Below are 20,602 nucleotides of genomic sequence, written 5' to 3' on the forward strand. Positions count from 1 at the left end.
GATGCTCACTCTCATCACTGCTATTCACCATGGTACTGGAAGTCCTAGCCAGAGCAATCAGACAAGGGAAGGAAATAAAGGGCATCGAAATCAATAAAGAGGAAGTCAACCTGTTGCTGTTTGCTGATAATATGATCATATACCTAGAAAACCCTAAAAAGTCCTCCAAAAAGCTCAAAAAACTGACAAAGAATTCATCAAAGTTTCAGGACATAAAATCAATGTACAGAAATCAGTAGCACTGCTGTACACCAACAGCAACCAAGCTGAGAATCAAATCAAGAACTCAACCCCTTTCACAATAGATGCAAAAATAATAATAAAATAAAATACTTGGAATATACCTAACCAAGGAGGTAAAAAACCTCTATAAGGAAACAAGGAAAACTAGAAAACACTGCTGAAAGAAATCATAGATGACAGAAACAAATGGAAACACATTCCATACTCATGGATGAGTAGGATCAATATCACGAAAATGACCATACTGCCAAAAGCAATCTACAAATTCAATGCAATTTCTATCAAAATACTACCATCATTCTTCACAGAACTAGAAAAAACAATCCTAAAATTCATATGGAACCGAAAAAGAGCCCACATAGCCAAATCAAGACTAAGCAAAAAGAACAAATCTGGAAACATCACGTTACCCGACTTCAAACTACACTACAAGGCCATAGTCACCAAAACAGCGTGGTATTGGTATAAAAATAGGCTCATAGATCAATGGAACAGAATAGAGAACCCAAAAATAAACCCAAATACTTTCAGCCAACTGATCTTCAACAAAGCCAACAAAAGCATAAAGTGAAGAAAGGACACCCTATTTAACAAATGGTGATGGGATAATTGGCAAGCCATGTGTAGAAGGATGAAACTGGATTCTCGTCTCTCACCTTACACAAAAATCAACTCAAGATGGATCAAGGATTTAAATCTAAGACCTGAAACCATAAAGATTCTAGAAGATAATATTGGAAAAACCCTTCTAGACATTGGCTGAAGCAAAGACTTCATGACCAAGAACTGAAAAGCAAATGCAATAAAAACAAAGATAAATAGATGGGACTTAATTAAACTAAAAAGCTTCTGCACAACAAATAATAATAATAATAATCAGCAGAGTTAACAGACAACCCACAGAGTGGAAGAAAATCATCACAATCTGTACATCCAACAAAGAACTAATATGAAGAATCTACAAAGAACTCAAACAAATCAGCAAGAAAAAAAAATCCCTTCAAAAAGTGGGCTAAGGACATGAATAGACAGTTCTCATAAGAAGATATACAAATGGCCAACAAGCATATGAAAAAATGCTCAACATCAGTAATTATCAGGGAAATGAAAATATCAAAACCACAATGGAATACTACCTTTTTCCTGCAAGAATGGACATAATCAAAAAATCAAAAAATAATAGATGTTGGTGTGGATGTGGTTTCCAGGGACTAGGGTGAGGAGGATGAGGAGTGTTGGTCAAATAGTGCAAAGCTTTAGTTATATGAGATGAATAATTTCTAGAGATCTACTGTACATTATAATGCCTATAGTTAACAATACTGTATTGTAGACTTCAAGTTTCACAGAGGGTAATACTTGTGTTCTTATTACACATAAAATAATAATAAAGCAAAAACTGCTTGAGGTGATGGATGTGTTTATGACATTGATTGTGGTGATGGTATTATGGGTATAATTTATTTCCAAAGTCACTAAGTTGTATATCTTAAATATGCACATAAATCATACCTGAATAAAGTAACTTAAAAGATAGATAATAGTCATGTCATGATTCTGTGAAGATCTTTATTTTCTATTCTCCTCGATTCCGTAGTAATGGCAAAAAACGCAGTTATGTTTGCACCAACCTAATACTTCTCACCCTAATGCTGATCCACACTCTGTAGGAATATAAAGAGGAGAAGTTACTCCCTATATAAGAGGTCCTATTATTAATACAGAAAATTCTCAGTATCTGCTTGATATTGATCAAAGTTGAAATTCAAATTTTTCACTATTTCAATTTATACCTCTATTACATTTGTATTTCTATTTATTACTACATAAATCCTTGAAGTTTGTGAAAGATATGTCTTCTAATGCTGTGCCTCTCAAAAACATTATGTGCCATACATCACCTGGTAATATTTTAAGAGCCTGCATTTCTTACAGGTTAAGTCCAACCCTGCTGGACCTGGTATACATTTTGAGTAGCAAGACAATATGTACACTCAACACAGCTCTCTGCTGCTGCTACTAGAGAATACCTTTCTCTGTGCTACCTGTGGTAGGTGAACAAATATGTGTATGTGTGTGCATTTGTGTATGTGTGTAAGGATGCAAGTAAGAGAAAATTATGATTTATTCCAGGTTTGGCTTCCAAGGTAAGTGCTAGCATAAAACGTCTTGCTTTCATTAATCAATAATTTAGTTATCTATGAATCAAGATCTCCCGTGGCTGAAGCTGGTTGGGGTGTTACTATTCAGACATGTCTGGCTACACATATACTTTCATTTGTTTATTTACTTAATAATCATTATTATATATTATGTGCTAGAAAATATACTGGGCAGCAGTTATAGAGTGGAGCTTGAGACACAATCCCTCCATTCAAAGATCTCACACCTCAATGGAAGAGATGAACTTGCTAAGAAAAATAGTAATATTGAGTTAAATACAATGTACTACATTTGCACAGAGGAAAAGGTAAAAAATGCATTTGTGGGATTCAGGAAGATTTCACAGAAGATGTGGCACTATTCAGAGACTTGAGGAAGAATATTAAGACAACAGAACATTAAGAATGAGCTCTCCTTGCAGAGGCAGTAACACTTGCACAAGCAAAGAAGCATTAAAATGCATGGCATACTCAGTGAACCACAGGTAGTTCAAGATGATTGTAGGGGAGTGGCAAAAAATAACTAGGCAAAGCATCAGATTATGAAAGGCCTTTATTCCAAGAAAGATGAATTTTTATCTTATAAGCAATGTGGAAATATTGAATGGTAGAGTATTAGAAAATAATTTCAGTAGTGGTATAAAGTGCTAAGTAATAAAAAGACAATTTTGAAGGCATCAAATTAACACGAGAGGGAAACAATGAATTCCAAACTGAGGTAGTATCGATGATAGGGGAAGATATTCTAGAGGTAGAAATGACTGGACTTCGTGGTAAATTGGACATTGGAATTGAGACCGAGGAAAGATATGTTTTTAAAATTTCAAGCCTGATTAATAAGGTGGGGGATATAATAGCATTTGCTAAAGTTTTGCATATATTCATATGGGAACTATTTTGGAAGTAGTCATAATGAATTCAGTTTTTATCTTGTTGAGTTTGAGAGTTTTGTAGGAAAAACAGACAACTGGGCTTCAGTTGGTTGAGAATATGCAGCTTAAATAAAATACATATGAAGTATGGAAGTTGGATCTTTTTCTTGGCCTGGATTACCTCATATCTTCTCTTTGTAAAATGCTTTAGTCAAAAATGCTGCTTTGGTGAATGTCACGGTGAGTATATCTACTATGTCAATGCTCATTAATGTTCTAATTTGCTTTGGAATTTGAAGAGCCCAAAGACCATATGATGATAATGGTTCTTTCCAGGATGCTATACAAAAGGAAGGGTGATTTGCTATTTTAGAGCAGTACTCTAATAATTTAAACTGTAAACATTTTCTGATGGCTTTGATGTATGAAGATATTTTGAATGCTACTAAGAATTAACTACTTTTTTTGTGATAAGACAACAGAACTAGGTCTGACATTTTTTAAAAGACACTGTGAAGTATATTGCTCTGATATGTAAGAGCAGATATTTCAGATCAGAGATTTACATCAGCTTGTGATATCAGAAAGTTTTTGGAGAATATTAACACATGACATAACTTGATCATACACAAATAGAGAGAATAAGCATGATTTGATCCCAGTTGATAAATGATCAGGTAGAATGGAAGCTCCTATCAAGTCTCCTATCTGACTTTCTTCTGGCATTCAAAAAGGAAGTTGGTTTCTCAGACAGTAAATAATTGGTTTATATGGATATACTATATACACTGCTTATAAAAAGGCTTCAGATAAACTGCGACTCTTAAGGTGATTACATTTAAAACTGAAAGAAAATTGAAAATGAGAACAGCTGCAGGTAAGATTGGACATTTTGGGACAAAACAAGTATTCATGCTGCTAGTGAGCTGGTGTCTCATCTGCAGTCATTACATAAAGCAAAGAGCTATTATAGCTTGTGATTATTTTTATTTACATACACATCAAAATGATGAGATGAGGTTTACATTTGCTCTACTTCTCTGTTTCCATCTGAATATCATTTACTTTCAGGATTAAATAAGAAATTTATTGAGCTGTACCATCAAAAACTTGTTAGTAATTGCTATATAATTATATATATTTTTATATATTTATATATTTATACATAGCTTACCTAAATCTGCAACCAAAGCTTGTAGTAACTTTGTATAACTCTGCACCATTAATTTCTTCAGAGTGACATTCTGATGTGAGCTGAACAGATGGAATTGCAGGATTGTTCTAGCAAATTTATCATAAAAAATGCATCCGACACCTGTGTAATTTGCCTAATCATTTTCCTAATAAGCTCCCACCATTAATTATGCACGATTTCCACAATGCAATCAAGATAAAAGTAAATCTGATGACTTAATACCCTTCAAAATAATTGGTTCACCCAACACAAGGCCTCCTTTGCTTTCCATAGCCATTTTAGTTAATTAGAGAAAGGGTGCACCCTGTTGGAGTCAGCAGAACGGAGGCTGATCGCTTGGTGGGAGGTAGACCTGCTGGTGTTTGGGCAGGAGTCAAGGATATTAACTCGTGAAAGAATAGAAGATAATTTTGCCCCTTCCTCTTATTTTCTTCCCTTCACATTCCCCCTTTCAACTTCCCTGCTTCCCCCCACCCACCCCAGTAGCAAACAGATGCGATTAGTGTTCTTCAGCCATCAGAAAACTGACTGCAGGACTCTGCGGGTCTAATAAGAATCAACTTTTCCGAGGCTGCTGTCTTGCGGTGCAGTCCACCTGTCACATCATTAGGTGCAGCATGTGCCTTGAATTCACTTTGCTAAATGAGATTTACAGGCCCCACTGAAACCCATCCTGCAGCATCCCTGCTTCAATTAGCTAAAGATTAATTGTCTGAGAAAGGGAATGAAAGTTTTACTTCAACTGACCTGAAAAAAAAAAGGTAAAAAAAAAGTATGGTTCAGGTATTCCACATAGGCCCGAGGCAGTGTGGAAAAACGTGATAATTTAAAGGTGCTGCAAATTTTCTACACCTCGCCTGGATGAATGAAATTAACTAGCACTAAAAGCTGTCAAATTAAAGGTTGACTTCCAGATATTAGCACCTTAAATGTCACTGAATATTCTCTTTCTTTTTTTCTTTTCTTTTTTTTTTTTTTGGCAAACATTCACGTCAGCACACCTGCACGTGCACACAAACATTTTCTTACTGCTGCTCCTGCTAACTGCTTGTTCGTGCCCAGCCGGGAGTTACTTGCTATAAATCTTTGATGTAACCATGGCTACAGAACAACTGGCAATTACAAAATTTCCTCCATGTTAATGTTACACTAATTATATTTGAATATATTTTAATGGAGAAAAAGATTTGGAGGTGAGAAAAGCTTCTGGAAGAAGGGCAGAATGTGGGATCTCTGCACCCATCTGCCACACGTTTCCTTCGCTAGTCAGACACACAGAGGTCTTGAGTGGAGGTATGTCCCTAGTAGCTAGAATTTCTTAACTTCTAAATCTTAATACAAATTATAAAACTGGAAAACTTTAATGTTATGGAGAATGGCCTAATGTAAATAGACAATCGATTTTTAGCATTGTGGGATATGCAAGGATTTATTAGGATTTGGATAGGAAATAGGAAAACTTCTCTTATCAGCTCAAATTGATTTTTAACTAATTAAATAAGAAAAACATTTAGCATTCCTAATATTCAGCATAAGGAATGGCACTGGAAACCACATTTGGCTAGGATGTCAGACACGGTGTAGAGTACTTGAGGGAAGAGTGGGGGTACTCCACATTTGGAGGCAGAGGTTATCAGGGGCCTTCATTCTTCAGTTCACTTTTCACATATTTCAACTAATCACAGTTTGTTTGTGCCGATTTAAATTTGTGGTTTATAGCACCTAGTTTTAATTAATAAAATTTCACAAAATACAAACATGCCTGGAGAAAATCTTTACCAAGACAATATACAAATGAGGTAATACTAAATATGTATGCAAAAGAGAATAATAAAAAAATGCAGAATGCAGAACGAACATGCCTCTACTTTGAATATGAGTTCCCTATCTTCTACATTAAGAGATTAAAAGGAAAAACCAGAAGAAAAAAAATGATGTAATCAAAAAACTTAAATAAATTCTTTTATACATAACAGGGAGTCTATTTGAAATATGCATTTGAATCCAATATCAGTAACAGTCAACCTCACTCTAAGAATATATTTAATATGAGTTATCAACTAACAATACCTGTGAAGCATTAGGATTTGAAAGTCATGTAAAAATATTATTTTATTTGTTTTTTAAACAGCATTATGCTTATGTTTTATAATATGGATATTTTATTAGTACAGTTATACATATATACTACTTGCAAATATAAATATGTGTATATATATATATCTACATACATAGCAGGCATATGCTGAATTTTTAAGTTTAAATTTAAGTCTTTTCCTAAATATGATAGATATCCAAGAAGTTCAGAGAATTCTATTCCAAGATTCCACTCCTTATCTATAAAATTAGACAAGGGCTGGAAAAACTATATGACTACTTTGAGTTATAATTTTCTCTTCGACTTGAGTATTTCCATGCCTATGGATCTTTGATAGTCAAAGGTTCTTCTCACTGACTTAAAGTTAATAGTTAATCAAACAGGAGGAGACAGCTAGGAAATAGTCCTCAGTGCAAAATTCTCCATATTATCTTTTCATGTTGATAGCACTATTTGTTATGTTCTTAAAAGAACTTATTGCAAAAGGATGCTATATACTGGGTGTCTTTTTTTTTTTTTTGACAGCGATTTGCATGTTCGGTTAGCCTAGCCTTTAGAATTTTGATTTAAAAGAAAGGTATCATACGCTTTGTGTCCCTTTCTCCTCACCTAAGTACCCGCATTTAGGTAATGACATCCAATCTGCATCAAACATTTACTATACTCCAGACATTTTTTTAATCAAATATTACCTCATTTAATCTTTACCACAATCCTATGACTTAAGATTTATTACTTTTCTGCTTTGACTGATGAGCAAAATTAAATTACAGATATTAAATAACTTTATGAAGGGCAGTCTAGTAAATACAAGGCTAGGATTCAAACCACTTTTCATATCTTATGCCACACTTTGGCGTGACAAAACTCACACTTATGGGTTATTGTTTAAAATTGATACCCTGCCTGTTTCCATGGGGATTTGAAATAGTGAAGAAGCAGATGAGTTGTTGTATAAACTTGGGTTCAATCCAATGTATGTGGGTGGGATTGGTGTTGGTGGAGGCAAAAGTGTTTATGTGTGATCTACCATATAGATAAACTGACATTTAATTAAATTCTGGGTGGCATCATTTCCATGATTAAGATGTAATATCTATAGTTATGAAATTTTATGAGTTTTACCACTGCTTATGTTTGGTTCCAGTTTATGTCTTAAAAATACAAGTCAGCATAAGATACATAGAACCAATATGGTAAGATATGATTAAAAGCAATATGAATAAAGCTATATAATCTGACAAAAAGACACCAAAGAATTCTGAATATTTCAGAGGTGTCAATTATTCTTCATTGAAGAACATATTGAATACAATTCTAATTAAAACCCTAGTAGAGATTATTTGGACCTTGGCAAAATAATTCTAGAGCACATCTGGAAAATTAATGAGGCTATTAGCATTCTGGAAAAAAAGTACAAATAAAAGACACTGCCTACTAGATAGTAGATTATATAAAACTGTAGTGATAATAAGAAGGGACTATTAATAAAGAATTGACATAAAGATCAAAAGAACAAAATAGGCAGCCCAGAAGCAGGAAACCACATACATAAAACTGTCCAAATAAAAATGATATCATTAAAATCTCTTAGGGAATATATATATGTCAATACATGATGATGTAACAAATAATTAATTGCAATAATTATACATTTGTACTAGATTTTATATTTGAATAATTAAATATATTAGACATAAATAAAAGTAGAATAGATTTTGTCCTAGAGAAGAACTTTTAAGTACCGAAATAACATAAAAAAAATGAGCTACAATTTCTGCATATCACCAAATATAGTAAACAAAAGTAAAATCCACAATTGGGCTAGAATTTAAAAAATTTAATCTGTATGATGGAGAAATACTACTGTCATAAATAAAATTGAAAACAAGTAACTGTGAAAGAAAAACTGTTGGGAAAGGATTGAAACAGGCAATTTAAAAAAGAACAATTTGAAAAACAGTAAAGGTATAAAAACCATGCTAAACATAAAAACTAAAATATTGAGACACTATTTTTCACTTTTGAAACTATGATTTATGAAAAATATTTATGCCAAAAGACTACCAAAGGCATATAAAATAGGTACTTTAAACAATGATCCCAGAGGTAAAACGTATACATTTCAAAAACATTTGGCAACAAAAACCGAGATTTTTAAAAATGCTCATACTCTTTTAATATAGCGAATGGCTTTGCTTCAATCATACTACCCTGATAAACTAACCAATGCCTCACTACAGTTCTCAAAAGAGGAAATAATCTCAGTGTCCTGCAAAAAGAGGAATTGTTAAAAAGTATCAATTTAAAAATGCAATGTTGAAGGATACATAATTCAGAAGGGAATGCTCAGAATTGTTATTATAAGGAACCACATAGCTTCGAAAATAAACTGCAAGGAAGTCTGCAAATGTATGAAATAGGCAAAAATATTTTAACATCATAATATAGGGTTAAAGGCTAAGGTTTGTAAATATTCTAAGTTTGAAATCTTGTCTTACCACTTTAATTATGTAGCTTTGAAAATTTACTTACTCCATTTGTATCCCAGTTTTCTCATCTAAAAGATGATGATAATAGCCTGTACTTTACAGTTTTATGGAACATAAAATAGAATAACTATGTGAATGATATGCTTAGCACAGGACTTGGCACTAAGCAAGTGCACAATAAATGTTATTAGCTATTATTATCCCTAGATGGTGGTATGGCATTGTGAATATTTTTCTCCCTTTTAAATGTATATGAGATATTTTCATAACAAAATTTTGACTAGCTCTTTTTCATAAGTTTCATCAGAATAAAATGTGTATCTTCTTAAAAGTCAAGGTAGCAGCATAACCCAAAAAAAATGTGTATAGATAAAAATTCTGTCTTTTGTGAGCCCCTTTTCTATTAACTGCAAGTCTATTATATATGATTACCTCATTTATTCATTCCACAAAAAAGTATTTTTTATACTGAATGCCAGGTAACTAAGTTCTGTAAACATATTAGTGAACAAAATGTGTCCCTTTCTTTATGGGGTTTATAATCTGTTGGAGTTGACAATAAATAAGTGCAAAATAAGTTGTTATTTTGAATGTAATAGTCTGAGAAAACTTACCTGAAGAGATGGCTTTTAAAACTGAAACCTGATCAGGCATTCTGTTAACACTGAACTTGTCAAATCAAGAAAATAAGAAATGTCCAACAGTTCAAAGGTCATAATTCTATAAAAATATATTCAAAGCAGATGTAATGGTGTATTCAAAGTACACTATGAAAATTAAAAGACATCATAAAGATAGTGTATTTCTGAGTACGTCTGTAGCTTTCATAGCCTCAGATTCAACCAACCGCAAATCAAAAGTATTTAAAGAAAATTAAAAATAAGTCAATTTTAAAAGTACACACAAAAAGTACAGAATAATAACTATTTATAGCACATTTACATTATATTTGCTATTATAAATAATCAAGACATGATTTAAAGTGTAAGGGAGGATATGCATAGATTATATGGAAATAGTACTCCATTTCTTCTACTGGACTTGAGCATCCACTAATTTTGGTATCCACAGGTGTCCCACAAGCAATTCTCCATAAATAGATATCAAGGAATAACTGAAAGCAGATAAGAAATATTTTAAGTTGATTTAAATTTAATTTAAATATAGTTCTGATATATTAACGCAATCAATCTTCTTTTTAGGTAGATTAATGTATCACACACATAACAATAGCAATAGCAACAACAATAAATAATATTTATTGAACACTTAATATGAGCTGAGATATGCTAAGCAATACGGGGACAAGAGGTTGTCCCAGTATTATCCCTGTTTTACAGCAGAAGAAATCAACATAAATTTTCCTTTTCCAAAACCACCAGTTCATTTGTGATGAAATTGTGATTCAAACCAGGTCTGTCTGATATCAAAATCAGTGTGCATAATCTATAGGCTTTACTGCTTTGGTTTGGATATCTGAATGCATTTGAGAGATTTCTATTTTAACTGAATTTTCCCTAATTATTTTTTAATTAAAAAATTCACACATTAAATCAGTCATTTGAAAAGAAACTTAGTAAATTTGGCTGCAATACAATAATTAACTGGTCCATTGGTTTTAAATATGCATAAGGGTTTGAAATAATTCAACTGCTAGCTCATTCAATCTAATCCACAACTTCTAAGAATTTCTTGAGATTCTATTTTTTTAAAGGGAGAGAAAGTTGAGAATTTACATGTATTACATTAATACTTCTGTATTTTGGTGTGTCTACCAGGTCTTGGGTATTTTATAGATATTAAATAGATTATATAATAGAGGACAAATAAGCCAATTAAATGTGTATTAAATGTGTAGGTATCTCTGAATAACTATAATTATGTTATAATGACAAAGAATAAAAAATGACTTATATCGACTAAATTCTCACTGTGTGCCAGCAGCTATACTTTCCATGACTGGCAGGCATTTGTTCACTTACTCATAACTCTATGAAGTAGGTAGTATACACCAATGTGCAAAATGAAATGTTAGACAAAATAAAATACCCAACTCCTCTTAGCTGCTTGGCCTAGAATGAAATTTTTTTTTTTTTTTTTTTTTGGAGACAGAGTCTCGCTCTGTCGCCCAGGCTGGAGTGCAGTGGCGCGATCTCGGCTCACTGCAAGCTCCACCTCCCGGGTTCACGCCATTCTCCTCCCTCAGCCTCCAGAGTAGCTGGGACTACAGGCACCCACCACCACTCCAGGCTAATTTTTTGTATTTTTAGTAGAGAAGGGTTTTCACTGTGTTAGCCAGGATGGTCTCGATTAGAATCAGATTTTTAACTCATATCTGCCTAGTAATACTAAAACTTCTAGAATGAAATTCACTTCTAGAGATGCAGCATCCTTATGCAAACCAATTTAGCTACTTATGTTATACTTACTTCTCTAGTACAGAGGTTTTCATCCAGAATGTCATGGGTAGCTCTGCTAATTGAAAGGAAGAAAATAACTCCTAGTACACTAGAAATTATACAAATCTCTTAATGATCTGATTTGACTTTGGGCTAAGGGTCAAAATATGAATATGTGTATGGAAGTGTGGAATGTCTGAGTTGTACCATTTAGTCATACATCTTTTACAGTAATTAATGTATAACATAACCAACTTTGGTAGTTCAAGTAACCATCTGTCACCAATGTTAGAAACCACTTACTGTTTTGTTATAAGTTACATTACAGAAGGCCAAATATCATGGTAATATTCTGCAGGAATATCTCATGTGAGTCTTGTTTGTAGATTTTTTTTTCTCATTTTGGAAAGCGGTTCAGATAATGTTATTTTCCTTCCATTGAGGTGTATAGCTTTATGCCCTCTCCACCTATCCAGTTCTAACTCCAGTCTCTGCAATAGATATAAATGTATCTGGTAAACAGATACATGATGTGTCATTTATAGGGTTTTAGGTCCTATTAACATGTTTTATTTCCAAAAAGTACCATTGATGTCTTCTCTCATGTGCCTGACTTTGCTGTCAGTCAGTTTTACCAAATGGCTAAATCTGCAAATGGAGATAGAGATGGATCGAAAAGCCATCAAAATGGGGCCATGGAAATGTAAGGAAACAAAGTACAATGTTGCCTTGATACCTGGGCTTACATCCAGTGCTTTGAATTACCAGATGCCACCTCCTCCTAGCACTAAAAACACTAAACATAAACAACAACAATAACATACATTGGTATAAAGAGTGACACTCACCTGTATAAAAAATTCTCATGAATTTACCTGTATTTACCAAAAACAATTTATCCTCCATATGTATATTGCATGTAAAAAAAAACAGATTCCATGTATCGTACTAGTACTTTCTGGAATACTCTAATAGAATTTCACATTGAATAAAAGGGTATTCGAATGCTATGCACCACACAGTCTCATTTAGCAAGCTGTCAAAAGTGAAACTTAAGGGGTAGAGAGCTGAGAGATATTTAAGATACCATACATTTATAATAAAGGAATGAGAAACATATTACTTTCTGTGGTATTGAATTTTTTTCTCTCTTTTTGCTTTCTTACCAGGAACATTTCACACACACACACACACACACACACACACACACACACACACACACACATCCTACCTGTCCACTGGTGACTGTGGGATGGGAATACAATTGCAAGTTTCCTCACAGCAGTGAGTTCTCAATCCCAGCTGTTCCTTCAGCGGCATGAGCCAGCATGATTACGCTAAAACACCCCTGGACTCCTTCCTCTTTTGTTTCATTCCACCCCGGGTCTTAAAGCTTAGACATTTGACACGCTTGGGCAGTTTTCTCTCTAATTTCACCCAAGCTGACTGTGTAGTGAGTTTAGTGTGTAGGTGTAGCCTGTAGGTGCAAGTAGCTGCTTCAGTATTTTTTCCCTTTAGCTATCTGAACACTGGATGCATTCCAGGTTGGAGGAAATCTCTTATGGTAAAAAGTTAAACCATATCACAAGAGAGATAATATTACCAGACCAAACTGATTTAGATCAATATCTATCCAGGCACAGGTTGACTCTGAAACTGTGAATATAATGCTTCTGGCTTCAACAACATAAAAGATGAAGCTTCTTAGGAGGTAAAATATTCCTCATATAGTTACACTAAGTTTAGTTCCTTTTAAAATCATGTGATGAGGCTTGTTGATATTGTGATATTCAGAGTAGCTTGCTCATATCTTAATTTCCCATGATCTAATATTAAAGAATAGATATATGTATAATACAGATACATATTACGCAGATTATATATAATATACATAATGTATATAATGTATATATATAGCAAGAGGTATATATAAGGTGTGTACACACACACACACACTCACACACACACATATAGCTTAAAATTTTTGTATAACAGCCGTCCTGTTCCCAGACTAGAATATGGAACATCAATTTCCAATTTTTTCACCCTGGTGCCCTGTAACTCTTTGCTACTCAGTGAAAATATCTGGAAATACATACATTGTTACTGAAGTAGCAGGTGGTTGAAGCATTCTGAATGTGTCTAGCTCATTAAAAGGCATTGAAGAATCCAAATAAACAGCATCGTATACATATCTTAGACTCACATATATGTCTGCTCTATTCTGAAAAAGAGAGTGCATTGATTTTACCCTTCCTTATTTCTTGGTCATCTCAATTCCTTGGTGGAGTTATTCAACATTGAGAAAAACATCTACACATTACGAGAGATAGAATTTTGAGGGGATAGAATTTCAAAGCCTACAGTGAAACATTTTGGAGATGGGGAGATGCTGATGGCAATCCATAGTTTTAGATTCTGTGATGTGTGTGTGCATGTGTATGTGTGTAAAACTCCACAAGTAAGTAACTTGAAATAAATACATCCTGAAAGAAAACTTGTCAGAGCTTTCTTTGTGCACCAGATAGAATTTTGAGGGGTTAGAATTTCAAAGCCTACAATGAAACATTTTGGAGATGGGGAGATGCTGATGGCAATCCATAGTTTTAGATTCTGTGATGTGTGTGTGCATGTGTATGTGTGTGTAAAACTCCACAAGTAAGTAACTTGAAATAAATATATCCTGAAAGAAAGCTTGTCAGAACTTTCTTTGTGCAACAGTTCTCTATTTATTGCCAGCTGCACATGTAAGAATGACAATCACATGTGTAAACAATTCTCATGTAGTATAAATGTATAATTCTCATGTAGTATAAATGTATAAATAATTCTCAAGTAGTTTATTTGAAAAATGTGGCAATGAAAATGTTATTAGAAACTTACTTTGGGCTGAGCACTATGGCTCACGCCTGTAATCTCAGCAATTTGGGAGGCCAAGGCGGGCAGATTTCTTGAGCCCAGGAGTTTGAGACCTGTGTGAGCGACATGGTGAAACCGTCTTTATGAAAAATACCAAAATAATTAGCTGGACATGGCGATATGTGTGTCTGTAGTCCCAGCTACTTGGGATCCTGAGGTGGGAGGATTGCTTAAGCCCAGGAGGTAGAGGTTGCAGTGAGCTGAATTTGCACTACTACACTGCAGCCTGGGTGATAGAGTGAGACCCTGTCTCAAACAAACAAACTAACTAAAAACAAACAAAAATACCCTATAATGAATGACAACATGCTATGATGGTGTCACATGTCAGATAAGAATTGTTATGTTTAACCAGCAATGGGGAGAAAGTTTGGGCCACAAAGTATCATCCTCTGATACTTAAAACCTTTTGTTTTAAAAATCATGATAAAGATTGCCTTAGTGCTTATAAAACTTTTCTCAAGCATCATGAGTAGAAGTTCTGATCTTCCGTTTGGGAACACTAATAGAGTAGTGACTGTCACCTTTACATCACTTACATCCTCTGATTAACCAGTTAAGGACTGTCATTCTGTCAGAGCCTCAGCAGTCAACATTGACTAGAAAGCCGACATTCAGTCATCTAAAGTGGTGTTTTAAATGGTTATGAGAGATAAATTATTCCCTGTCACAGTGCATTTGAAGTAAACTCTCTGTACCCATCATAGCAATGAAGAATTCCCCAACTAAATTTACAATGATTCTGATTGCAGTAATCTGGACCCAGGTAGAACTTAAATGGAGAGTAAAGAGGAATAATATTAAGTTATTTCATAGAGAAGAAAGAAAAGAGCATTAGACAAGGAAAGAAAACCCAAGTCTCGGATTGAGTTCTGCTATTAAGATGTGAGACTTTGGGCAAGGACTTAACCTCCTCGACCTTTCATTTTCTCTTTGGTAAATGAGACTGCTCGACTACAGCAGCAGATCCCAATCTACTTCAAGAAACATCTGTTCTCTAAGCATTAATACATTCTGTAAGAATAAAGATTTACTGGTGAAATATATAAATGAAATATGTTCCCTCATGAGCCTGTATCAAAGCACATTTTAACAACTTTAAGTCTATAAAGTATTTTGTCATAAAACTTTGGTTAGAGAGAGACATACACGTAGCTATTTGTTTAGTTTCCTGGAAAACCTTAGTGGAGAGATTTTGAGTTAAGGTTCTGAGTTAAAAGCAAAGGATTTTTACCATCTCAGCTATGAATGTTGTGCAAGAGTTTTGTTTTCATTTATAAAGTAATATGCTAATTATTTAAAAATAATTATTTAGAATAATTTAATTTTAGAATATTTTAATTTTGCTAATATTAATTTTTAAAATCTATTTATTGCCTCTTCTCTTTTAATTTCAAAAAGCAGCATCCAATTTCTTATGGCTTTCAAAAATGACTTATGTCTTTATTTACAATGTGCCAAACATAAGATAAAGAAGAATCAAGACTAAAATAAAAGATATTTAAGTTCATGATGAACTAAAAGTATGAATATGTTTAATCCAGAGCAAGAATTCTTGATATGAAATCAATACAGGGATTAATGAGTAAGTATTAAAGGTTTCATATACTGAATCAAATAGGAAAAAAATTTGGTATATGATTATGTGCATTTTTTCAGAGAAAGGGCCAAGAGATGTCATTAAATAGTCAAAAGGCCTTCAATTAAAAAAAATCCAGTAAAACCAGTAATCAAAGGGCATTCTAGAAATATACAAACATCTCTCCAAATTTTATGAAAAGTTATACTCACAAATTTTATAATTTTATTAATTGAAGTAAGAGACTAAAGAAAAAGACAAAAAGCCACTTTGTGGATGTTTTATTTCATTAATAACAATCCTCTCTGTGGAGCTCTCTTTCTGTGTCTGTCTCTCTCTCCTCCCTCCCCTCAACAACAACAAAAAATATCTCTTAATAGCCTTGTTCATTGTTCCTTTCACTAACATAAGGAATTAACACCAGTTGATTTTATCATGAAAAGCCCCACAACTCCTGAATGCAGCTATCTAATATTATCGCTGTTGAAAAAATATTTCCTTTTAAATCTACTTTTGTTTTCTGTACCATGGGTTAGCAAAACTTTTCTTTAAACAGCCAGATAATAAATATTTTAGGTATTGCAGGCCATATCACTGCTATAACTACACCGAATCTTTCCTCGTAGCACAAAAGTAGCCATACACAATACATAAATGGATGAGCATAGATGTTTTCCCAGATAACTTTATGTACGAAAACAAGTTTGCAACCCCTGCTCTAGATCATATAATGTGAAGATCTCCACTGAGTATAATTGTAAAATATTTAATTATCAATATGTGAATCAGTAAATTTATAAACTATGGTTTTCTTTTTCCCCAGTAGCCAATACTCAGACAATTCTGTCATTATCTCTCATATTTGCCATGCTGGTAGGTTTTCTTCTAAAAATCTGCATAGGTTTTATTTTAATTCAATCTGAACTTTAAAATAAAATTTAAGTTCTAACTTCTTTGCTACATTTTTGTATTTATACTTGTACTTCTCGGTAGTCTTGGTTTCATTGTGGATTTTCTCCAAGATCCTTTTCTAATTCATAGGTGTTATATTATTTCTTTTCTACTTGTTAATAATTTTCATTTTTATAATAAGATTTTAAATATCCTACAAAAAGTTGATTATCTCTTTTCCTTTATGATATTACTTTCTAACTCCTTAAATTGATTCTGTGTGGAAGAATATCAGCTGTCTTCAATCAGGTTTTTAAGTTTTAACTCCTTTGCTTCCTTTCAGGGGAAATATGTGCTGATATAAATATGACAATTTATTCTCAGTTATAATTTTATTACTTGAAATAGGAGACAAAAACTAAATTTTATTTTCTGTTTTAAAAAACACCTTTAATGACAAAAGACCTTGGAAGTTCAGCAATTGTAGTTTTTACAGCTTTAAATCACCTATCATACTCAAATCTTTTTGGCCTCCAAGTATATAAAATCAACTGAGCCTTTTGCTTTGTCATATGCAAATATCCACAGTATAAATCAATGTGCTTCATGATATGTAGAAGTTACAGCTTCTGAGATATTAGAGAATCATGCAGCAAAATAAACTCTTTAGTTCTATTGTTATTAAAATATTTAAAATGTTCATTAATTCAGACCTCAACAAATTGGATATTAAGTCAATTGCCACAAATGACTATAGAAATTATTTTGTTTTCCAACTAACTGTATTGACAGATTAGAGAGGAAATTAAATATTTAAATTGATTTCTTACTCGAGGCTAATCTTTCCAGTTGTCATATTTTTCTTTTTATTTGTAAACTTCATTGAAGTATAGTTAATATTAAATGAAACACATCAATTTTAAGAGTACATTTTGATGTCTTTATATGTCTGTCTGTAATCATCATCCCAATTAAGATATAGTACATTTCATCATGCTAAAATGTTTCCTCCTGCTCCTTTACAGTAAATTATAATTTTCATACCTGACACAGCCAACTACTGATCTATTTTTTTCTATTCCAGAATTTCATTTCAATGAAAACATACAGTATGCATTTAATAGTGCCTGAATGCTTTTATTAAAAATATATATCTGAGCCTCATGCAAGTTGTTGGATGTGTCAGTAGATTGTTCCTTTTCATTCCCAAATGTGTTTTGATATTTAAAGTATTTTTTGTGAATAGAATATAATTAGATCTTGTTTTTTTAGGCAGTCTGACAATTGCTGTCTTTTGGTTTGTATGTTTAATCCATTTATATTTAATGTAATTATTGATATTGTATTGCAGTCTATATCTTAGTATTTCTTTTCTGTTTGCCCCATCTATTTTGTTCCTGTTTTTCATCTTCCCTTTTTCCTTCAAGATTACTTGAATACCTCTAGTATTCCTTTATTCCTTTTTATCTTCTCTACTGATGTTTTTGTTATATAACTTTGTTGCACAATATGTTAGTTGTTCCAGTGTTTGCAATATATATTTAGACCTTACTATAATCTATTTACAAATAATATTATGTCACTTACCTATACAACAGTGTATTTCTACACTACTTGTCTTTTGTGTTATTTCTATCATATAATGTACTCCCACAATGATATATACCACTCAAAATACTGCTTTTACAGTGGTATATATTTTTTGAGTGGTAAAAAGTACTACTTTTTATCAAAACAAACAATTGTATTTTAGAAAGTTTGGAAAACATAAAAATTGTTTATATATGTTTATACAATGGACAAATATGATTCTGACTTATCTGAATCTGATAACATTTTCCTTTATCCCAAAGAAGTTCAAGTAGTACAGGTTGGCTACTGCTATATATTTTTAACTTTTTTCTGTTGTAAATGGCATTATTTTGCCATACCTTTTGAAAGATATATTCACTGTGTACAGAATTCTGGCATGACTAACCAATTTCCAATAGATTAATAATTTTATTTTATTGCCTCTGGCTAAATTCTGTCTGATGAGTATTCAGTAGACATTTAAATTTTTTCCCCTAGATGTAATGTGTCTTTTTGCTTTGCTACTTTTACAATATTATTTTCTTTGTCAATGGTTTTCTGCAATTTGATTATCATGTCTCTTAGTGTAATGCTACTTGGGGTTCATTAAATTTCCTGGATTTCTGGATTAATTTTTAAAAATCAAATTTGAAAAATTTTCACATATTATTTTCTCAAACATTTACCTAACCACCCATCTTTAGGATACTTGAATCACATATGTGTTATGTTACTTAATTTTGTCCAAAAATCATCAAAATTTTAAATTTTTTCAGTGTTTTATTTTTTGTTCTTATGTTTTAGTTTGGATAATTTCTAATGTCATATTTTCAAATCTACTTAAGTCTTACTTGAGAAAAACTAATTTCCTATTAAGTCCATCCGTGTCAGATATATAGTCAGGTATATAAGTTCCATTCAGCTCTTTAACCTTCTATATTTCTCATGATCACATTATGCTTTTCTTAAGTACTTGTACGTATTTACTTAGCTCTTTTAAAGTTTTAATGTGCTAATTCAATTATCCCTGTCATTTTTTATTCTGTTTCTATTGACTAATTTTCTCCTGATTATGTGTCACATTTTTTAGCTTTTTTGCCTATTTAGCAATCATTGATTGGCTGCTGGAGAGTTTGAACATCGTTGGGTGTATGAATATTGTTGCCTTTCTTTAGTGTTTGGTTTTGTTCTGCAAACCATTAATTTACTTGCCAATCACCTTAGTCTTTTTAAGCTTGTTTTCACACTTTGTTAGTGCCCATCCAGTGTAGTCTTTCATCTCCTCTTAGTTTAGTCCGTATTTTAAGGTATGGCATTTCTGAAGCATCCTCTGAATTTTCTGGATGTTGGATGAGATGTCTTTGAAACTGTGGGACCTCAAATGTATCTCAGTGGATGTGAACTTGCAAGCTCAGGCACTAGTTTGGTTTATAGCTCCCTCGTAAGTCTTTACTCCTAGAGTTATTTGCCTGGCTTCGTAGAGTGGCACACTTGGCATATTAATCTTAATATTTAGTCAGAGCTTTAAGTGAGGCTGTTTTAAAATTTCTGGATATATCTTCCTCTCTGTAGCTATCTCCTCTATAGTAACATGCTCTACAAATTCTAATCATCTCAGCCTTTTTAACCTCAGGAAGACTTTCTTGTTCCGCTTGGATTTCCTTTCCCTGTGCATTGTTCTGCAAATGATTCTAGCAAGAAAGCCTGGCAATTGTAGGGTGTATTAGATATGTTTTTTTCTTCTTTCAGGGATCCTAGGTCTGTTATGTCTGTTGTCCAAAATATGTGAAGAATTTCTTTTCGTATTGCTTTTCTAATTTTCTAGGGCTTTGTTGTTGTTGTTTGTTTGCTTTGTTTTGCATTAATGGCAAGAGGACTAATTTAATATCAGTTTTTCAACCTTGGCCAGCAGTTCTTATTACTTTTAAACTGTTTTATTAATGTGATATCAACTTTCTTTTCACTTTCTTTACTATGAAAATTCTTATGGTTGTTTACTTGGTATAACTGTTGATAGCTTTATATTGTGACACTTTCCAAAGAAGTATGTGACAGAGCTCCTGTATGCCTCTCTCTAGACTCAGGGTTCTTGAGAACAAAGATTGGGGACCACTGTTTCAAAAGCAAAGGTCACCGTTGTCAATTTTCATGCCTTAGGACTGATTAGAATGGATGGAAAG

At 32.9% G+C, this 20,602-nt stretch overlaps 7 annotated features.

Annotated features, from left to right (window-relative positions):
• Nucleotides 2,337-2,481: an enhancer, noted in NCBI's record as "145 bp 12:17310310 sequence used in MPRA reporter constructs". NCBI's record gives its function as "activates a minimal TATA-containing promoter with rs35270058 allelic activity by MPRAs in C283T melanocytes {active_cell/tissue: C283T}" and the evidence as "EXISTENCE:reporter gene assay evidence [ECO:0000049][PMID:36423637]".
• Nucleotide 2,409: a transcriptional cis regulatory region, noted in NCBI's record as "rs35270058 or 12:17310310 MPRA-significant variant associated with a GWAS melanoma risk locus at 12p12.3". NCBI's record gives its function as "allelic transcriptional activity by MPRAs in C283T melanocytes {active_cell/tissue: C283T}" and the evidence as "EXISTENCE:reporter gene assay evidence [ECO:0000049][PMID:36423637]".
• Nucleotides 3,701-3,845: an enhancer, noted in NCBI's record as "145 bp 12:17311674 sequence used in MPRA reporter constructs". NCBI's record gives its function as "activates a minimal TATA-containing promoter with rs10770196 allelic activity by MPRAs in C283T melanocytes {active_cell/tissue: C283T}" and the evidence as "EXISTENCE:reporter gene assay evidence [ECO:0000049][PMID:36423637]".
• Nucleotide 3,773: a transcriptional cis regulatory region, noted in NCBI's record as "rs10770196 or 12:17311674 MPRA-significant variant associated with a GWAS melanoma risk locus at 12p12.3". NCBI's record gives its function as "allelic transcriptional activity by MPRAs in C283T melanocytes {active_cell/tissue: C283T}" and the evidence as "EXISTENCE:reporter gene assay evidence [ECO:0000049][PMID:36423637]".
• Nucleotides 3,883-5,858: an enhancer, noted in NCBI's record as "VISTA enhancer hs993". NCBI's record gives its function as "enhancer in: hindbrain (rhombencephalon)[3/7]" and the evidence as "EXISTENCE:transgenic organism evidence [ECO:0001131][PMID:17130149]".
• Nucleotides 19,968-20,112: an enhancer, noted in NCBI's record as "145 bp 12:17327941 sequence used in MPRA reporter constructs". NCBI's record gives its function as "activates a minimal TATA-containing promoter with rs11043352 allelic activity by MPRAs in C283T melanocytes {active_cell/tissue: C283T}" and the evidence as "EXISTENCE:reporter gene assay evidence [ECO:0000049][PMID:36423637]".
• Nucleotide 20,040: a transcriptional cis regulatory region, noted in NCBI's record as "rs11043352 or 12:17327941 MPRA-significant variant associated with a GWAS melanoma risk locus at 12p12.3". NCBI's record gives its function as "allelic transcriptional activity by MPRAs in C283T melanocytes {active_cell/tissue: C283T}" and the evidence as "EXISTENCE:reporter gene assay evidence [ECO:0000049][PMID:36423637]".

This window comes from Homo sapiens, chromosome 12, assembly GCF_000001405.40.
Source record: "Homo sapiens chromosome 12, GRCh38.p14 Primary Assembly".
Lineage (NCBI taxonomy): Eukaryota > Metazoa > Chordata > Mammalia > Primates > Hominidae > Homo > Homo sapiens.